The sequence below is a fragment of the Homo sapiens genome, chromosome 3, assembly GCF_000001405.40.
Source record: "Homo sapiens chromosome 3, GRCh38.p14 Primary Assembly".
Taxonomy (NCBI): domain Eukaryota; kingdom Metazoa; phylum Chordata; class Mammalia; order Primates; family Hominidae; genus Homo; species Homo sapiens.
The window spans coordinates 110,679,922-110,686,222 of record NC_000003.12 but is presented as its reverse complement, the minus strand read 5'-3'; the positions used below and the strand labels follow the sequence as shown (position 1 = coordinate 110,686,222).

The 6,301-nt window shown below is 39.4% G+C and overlaps 1 pseudogene, besides 1 other annotated feature; it reads left to right on the top strand.

Moving 5' to 3' along the window:
* Positions 324-900: an enhancer, noted in NCBI's record as "OCT4-NANOG-H3K27ac hESC enhancer chr3:110404170-110404746 (GRCh37/hg19 assembly coordinates)". NCBI's record gives its function as "activates a minimal SCP1, AML or CMV promoter by ChIP-STARR-seq in naive H9 embryonic stem cells {active_cell/tissue: H9 hESC(naive)}" and the evidence as "EXISTENCE:reporter gene assay evidence [ECO:0000049][PMID:30033119]".
* RPSAP29 (ribosomal protein SA pseudogene 29) lies at positions 2,993-4,007 on the top strand (annotated as a pseudogene).

Sequence of the window (6,301 nt, the reverse complement as noted above, 5' to 3'; positions counted from 1 at the left end):
AGGAGTTCAGACATTTCTGTGATTTTTCTGATGTCTTCTTCACCAAATGCCATATTTGGGCAAGAATATACACAGAATAGAAGGAGAAAAAGTCTTAGCCCGTCTAACAGCCAAATGTATTGAACCACAATGCTGACATTGTAAGGATGACGGATATTAGAGCCAGATCACTCTAATATCCAAGGAGTTCCCACAGATAATCCCCTTTGCCAAAACAATTAAAATAGGATAGTTTCCTTTCACTTTGCAGGGTTTCAGTGCAATTCTATCAAGTCAGGAAGGCAAATAACTACTTAATCCCCCAGGTAGGTAACGACTCTCTATGCTGCCTATTGTGGGTCACTGGAAGGGAATGTAAAAATGGGTCTTGACTTTATTTAGGTCAGGAAAGAAAGTTTTAAAAGTGGACTTGGCTACCACTGTGGCCTCGCTATTGTCAGTTCCACTATTCTCCTACAAATGGCTCAATTTCCATGTGAAAACGTGCTCTACTTAACGAAAAGTTAAGTGGAATGAGGTTAGGAAGTCAAATGCCCTAGAGTCTCAAGCATAGAGGCAATAGAGCTGACTAGAATTTTCTTACAAAGGTTAAGTAAATTAATAATGTTTTCTGGGCAATAGGTAAAATTATTCATTTTGATTTAGCCTAAAGGACTCAGTACTTCTTTTTGTGTATCTGTGGGACATGCTTGTGGAAGGGAGACTTGATTTATTAAGTGTAGCTTCAGGGAGCAAAAGTCAGACCAATGGGTAGCTGCCAGAATCTCAGAGGCAAATTGATGTCCCATTCTTAGTAAATTTACAAGATCAGGGAAAGTCTTTTATGCAATAATTTAGTTTCTGGTTTTACTTTATTTTCCTTTTTATGTTCTCCAACTTCCTAACTTGCCTCATTTAAATTTTATTTTGTCCTATAATTGTGTGCACTTTCCTAAGTAATGAGCATTTTCTATTTCCTAAGAGCATTAAATAAACATTTCCTAATCATTTCCTAAGAGCACTAAATAAACAAATATATAAATAAATTTCATTCATCTTCCAGTGAATGAAACCTGTAGTATAGCAGATTTGCATTCAGCATTAGGAAAAACCTCAAACTTACAGGTAGTGTGGAAGCCACTTGTGGCACCCATGACCACATTGATATATATATAGGCATTGGGAGTTATCCCCTTTTGGGGGTTCACAGATTTAGCAGTCTCTTCCAAGCTTATGTAAAGTTTTATAGAATGTTCTATTCCCTATGAATTTGTGTTATAAAGGGAAGAAACAAAAAATCTTTTGGATTGTAAAAAGAAGAAAATAGAGAAAAGATATACCATGAATATTTCTTCTTGGATATTATTGCTAATTTTTGTTACTTCTGCTAAAAATGGAAGGACAAAACTGACTTTTTCGGTTGCTTCTAAACTGCCTGGATAACAATCACAAGTGATTATGCTTAGAATTTTGAAGACAGCTGCTTTATAGAGAACGTGCTTTCCATCAGCTCATTTAGGTTGTAGGCTAAAAATTGAGGCGGAAGAAGTTGAAGGGATTTGGCCACAGTGGCAGCCAGTCACCAGCCAAGACAGGAAACAGATTTCATCTTCCTGTTATTAAGGGTAATTTGCCATTCACCAGACTGTACTCGTGATGACACATACTAAGGTGTGATCAACTTGTAGCTGGATGCATATCTGAAAGAATCATTTTGATAAGCATTTTAGAAAATGAACCAAATTCAAGCACTCCATACAATTGCAGCTAATGGAAGATATGCAATCTCATTTTAAACCAGCATTCAGTGGACCGTACATACAGTCCACATCTAGCCACAAGCAGAGATTTGGCTTAAAAATAGATCCGATCTGAGCTCTACTTTAGATTTAATCTTGATATAATCGAGACATAATTGTTATGCGCATCTGTAACCTGAGCAGGCTCAGTGTGAGCAACAAGGCTGTTTATTTACTTGGGTGCAGGTGGGCTGAGTCTGAGAAAGGAGTCAGCAAACGGTGGTGGGATTATCATTGGTTCTTATAGGTTTGGGATAGGTGGTGGAGTTAGGAGCAATTTTTTGCAGGCAGGGGATGGATGTTACAAACTACATTCACAAGGACAGGGAATATCACAAAGTACATTATCACAAGGGCACGAGAATGTCAGGATGGCTTGACCATGGTGCGGCCAGCTCAGAGGACCTTACAAAAATTACAGCATTTTCCAATACTCCTTTAAGAGTTACGGAACTATTTGTCATCCCATCAGGCTTTCATGTTTCTCTATTAGTTTTGAGTTAATAACTACTATATGAAGCTCATGGCCCCAACTTATTGAGAGACAATTCGGAGAAAGGCAGCACTGTTACTCAAGGGAGACATGCAGTGGACAGGACAGAGACTAATCAGATTTGATTACTTGCATTTGTGTGATTTGGAGGAGTTGAGCATGTGCTGTTGAAGTATCTGGACCAAGAGGCAAAGGGTCAAACAGTGGAAAAGCATACAACAACAACAAAAAAAAAGAAAGAAAGAAAAATGGAAAAATAAAGAGAGAATGAAGTCTGAGAAGGTTTAAACAATTGTCTATGAAGAAAAAACTTGAAATTTTTGACAATTCCATAATTTTCCCCAATAGAATTATGATTATATAATTATAATTCAAAATACACTTTTTGAATTATATCTACACTTTTGAAGATATAAAATACAAGGTGGTTAAGAATAACGTGTGATAAATTCTTAAAGTATCAGCTTTTCCTTCAGCTCTAAATGCTATGAGGAACAGCCATTCAAAACAAATCATAACTACTCAGTTTTTTTAATGCACTGACCCTCATGCTAGTTTGATCATGAGGTTACCAGAGCATATGCTATCTACTGAATCAAATTCTCCAGGGAAGTGATCTTGACAATCTGTAATTTTAATCAGCTCTCCAATGTGATTTAAATAGCTGGCAAATGTGGACAACAGTGCATGAGAGAATGTTGCTTAGAAGTTAAAGTCTTGCTTTCCATGCTACCTACAGAGGGGTCCATACGGCATTGTTCTGGATTCCCGTCATAACTTAAAGGGAAACTTTCACAATGTCCGGAGCCCTTGATGTCCTGCAAATGAAGGAGGAGGATGTCCTTAAGTTCCTTACAGCAGGAACCCATTTAGGTGGCACCAATCTTGACTTCCAGATGGAACAGTACATCTATAAAAGGAGAAGTGATGGCATCTACATCATAAATCTGAAGAGGACCTGGGAGAAGCTTCTGTTGGCAGCTCGTGCCATTGTTGCCATTGAAAACCCTGCTGTTGTCAGTGTTATATCCTCCAGGAATACTGGCCAGAGGGCTGTGCTGAAGTTTGCTGCTGTCACTGGAGCCACTCCAATTGCTGGCCGCTTCACTCCTGGAAACTTCACTAACCAGATCCACAGCTTCTTGTGGTTACTAACCCCAGGGCTGACCACCAGCCTCTCATGGAGGCATCTTATGTTAACCTACCTACCATTGCTCTGTGTAACACAGATTCTCCTCTGCACTTTGTGGACATTGCCATCCCATGCAACAACAAGGGAGCTCACTGAGTGGGTTTGATGTGATGGATGCTGGCTCGGGAAGTTCTGTGCATGCGTGGCACCATTTCCCATGAACACCCATGGGAGGTCGTGCCTGATCTCTACTTCTACAAAGATCCTGAAGAGATTGAAAAAGAAGAGCAGGCTGCTGCTGAAAAGGCAGTGACCAAGGAGGAATTTCAGGGTGAATGGACTGCTCCAGCTCCTGAGTTCACTGCTACTCAGCCTGAGGTTGCAGACTGGTCTGAAGGTGTGCAGGTGCCCTCTGTGCCTATTCAGCAGTTCCCTACTGAAGACTGGAGTGCTCAGCCTGCCACGGAAGACTGGTCTGCAGCTCCCACTGCTCAGGCCACTGAATGGGTAGGAGAAACCACTGAATGGTCTTAAGCTGTTCTTGCATGGGCTCTTAAGCAACATGGAAAAATGGTTGATGCAAAATAAACATCAGTTTCTAAAAAAAAAAAAAGAAGTCAAAGTCTTGGGCATAAGCCCCATCTATGGAGGGAAGGTAGCTTGGGTCAAGTTTGCCTTGACCCAGTGTGACCCTCTCATGTTCATTGGTTATCTGACATAAACTCTTGGTCATAATAGATTTGGGCCCATATTCACAGAACATTAATAAAAAATCAAACCTGCTTCAAAATTCACCTTCTATTGGTTCTCATCTTTATTTGTGAAGAACTGAATTAAAATTACATACTATCACTGTTGCTTGCTGCACTCTCCCTCTTTAGCTAGAAAGATAAAGTTAAATTGACTTTGCAAGTCTCATAAAAGATTTTATTTTAAGCTACCACACATGGCTAATTAGCAGCACATGCTATGTGGAGTCCACTGACTGCAGCCACAATAGATAATTTATATAACAATGGAAGGGAGAGTCACTTTAAGGCCAAATCCATTTCTTTTTTTAGGGCTAAGATCAGAGGAGTGATTGATGCTATAGACTGTGAATACCTTCATTTGTTTTGGATCTTTATCCATTTTACAGCAAAAAGAGCTCCACCACCTGCAAAATCTCAACTTTTCTTTTTAATCTAGGAATATGAGTGCTATAAAAGAGGTTACTGCTGCCATGAAAATAGTAAGTGCTCCATAAAATCAAAACTACACCTTGTTTAAATTCTTATTTTTGCTCTCATTTGCTGTGTGACTTTGGATCTTAATTTCTCAGAACTTTAGTTTACTCATACTTTTAATGGAGGTACTAATACATCCTTCTATGGAGAACTAAATGAAATGAACCATGTGTGGTAAATTTTCTTTTCTTTTTTTTTTTTTTTTTGTTTTGAGGGAGAGTCTCGCTCTGTCACCCAGGCTGGAGTTCAGTGGCACAATCTCGGCTCACTGCAACCTCCGCCTCCCGGGTTCACGCCATTCTCCTGCCTCAGCTTCCCAAGTAGCTGGGACTACAGGTGCCCGCCACCACGCCCGGCTAATTTTTTTTTTTTTTTTGTATTTTTATTAGAGACAGGGTTTCACCATGTTAGGCAGGATGGTCTTGATCTCCTGACCTCATGATCTGCCCACTTCGGCCTTCCAAAGTGCTGGGATTACAGGCGTGAGCCACCGCGCCCGGCCTCACGTGTGGTAAATTGTTTTCCATTCTTCAGTCTCTTCTGCCATGTGGTCTTGCCATGGGTGAGTGAAGGGCATATGCTTCCTACCCATTGATCTGGGCTTCATCATGTGAATCAATTTGGTGTGGAATGAGGGCAGATAAGTTACTGTGCCAGTTGCAAGCTATGACCACAAGAGGCCTTAGAGCTAATCCTTATGCTCCTGTAAATGAATGGTCATTTTAAATAGCATCCCCCAAGAAGCCATTTTCCCTTCAGACTAGAAAAATCCAGAAAGAATATGTTTGAGGAAGTCTTGAAAATCCAGTCTTCAGCCTTACACAGAGATGGCCCAGCCAACTTGCAGACTCATTGGAGAGAAAAGTAAATACTTTTGTAAGTCACTAAATTTGGTATGCAAGATTATTGTAGTAGCAAAAGCTGACTAATTCATTATGTCATACTTCTGATAGAGTAGGATTGAAAAAGCATTAGACCGCCCTTCAAATATTTTCTCACTTAGGATTGTTTGTTGAGGTATAAATTACATAGAGGAGGTATAGTAGGTATAAGCCGCACAGCCACGTAAGCTAACATAGTCGGTGCAGCGCACAATAAGCATAGTAGCAAGTGAGCAAACATATACAAAAACCTAGCTAGCCATGTCTGGCACAGAATAAATGGATAATAAATTCTGGAAGCTTTTCTTCTGGATTGACACAGAAATATTGGTGGTTCTTTCCTAATCAAGGATACAGGTCTGTTTTTCCATTTGACTGTGGCTCTTTAAAGATAGAGTCAGTATTTTACTAGTGTTTGTATCCTCAGCACTTCATATAATAGACAAGCGTGTTTAGAAAGCACCCCACCCCCCTGTTTTTAAAAATACAAGATGAAAGAGAAAAGGTAAAATCTCTCAGATAACTCCTGAACTCAATGACGATGCTATTTATCATGTAAGGTTTTAAAAAAAATTACTCTCTTCAATTTATGACTAAAAGTGATTTATACTTTCTATTAACTTTGTTTTTGACACCCAGGACTGACCAGCTAGAGTTTTCTGGTTCCTGATACTGAGCTTTATTTTTTTCTTTTTTCAAATAAAGAAGACTATTTATTAAGGGGAAGAGTCCTTTGAGTAAGAATAAGGTGTATTTGCTTGATGTCTATTTGATTTTTACCTAGATATAAT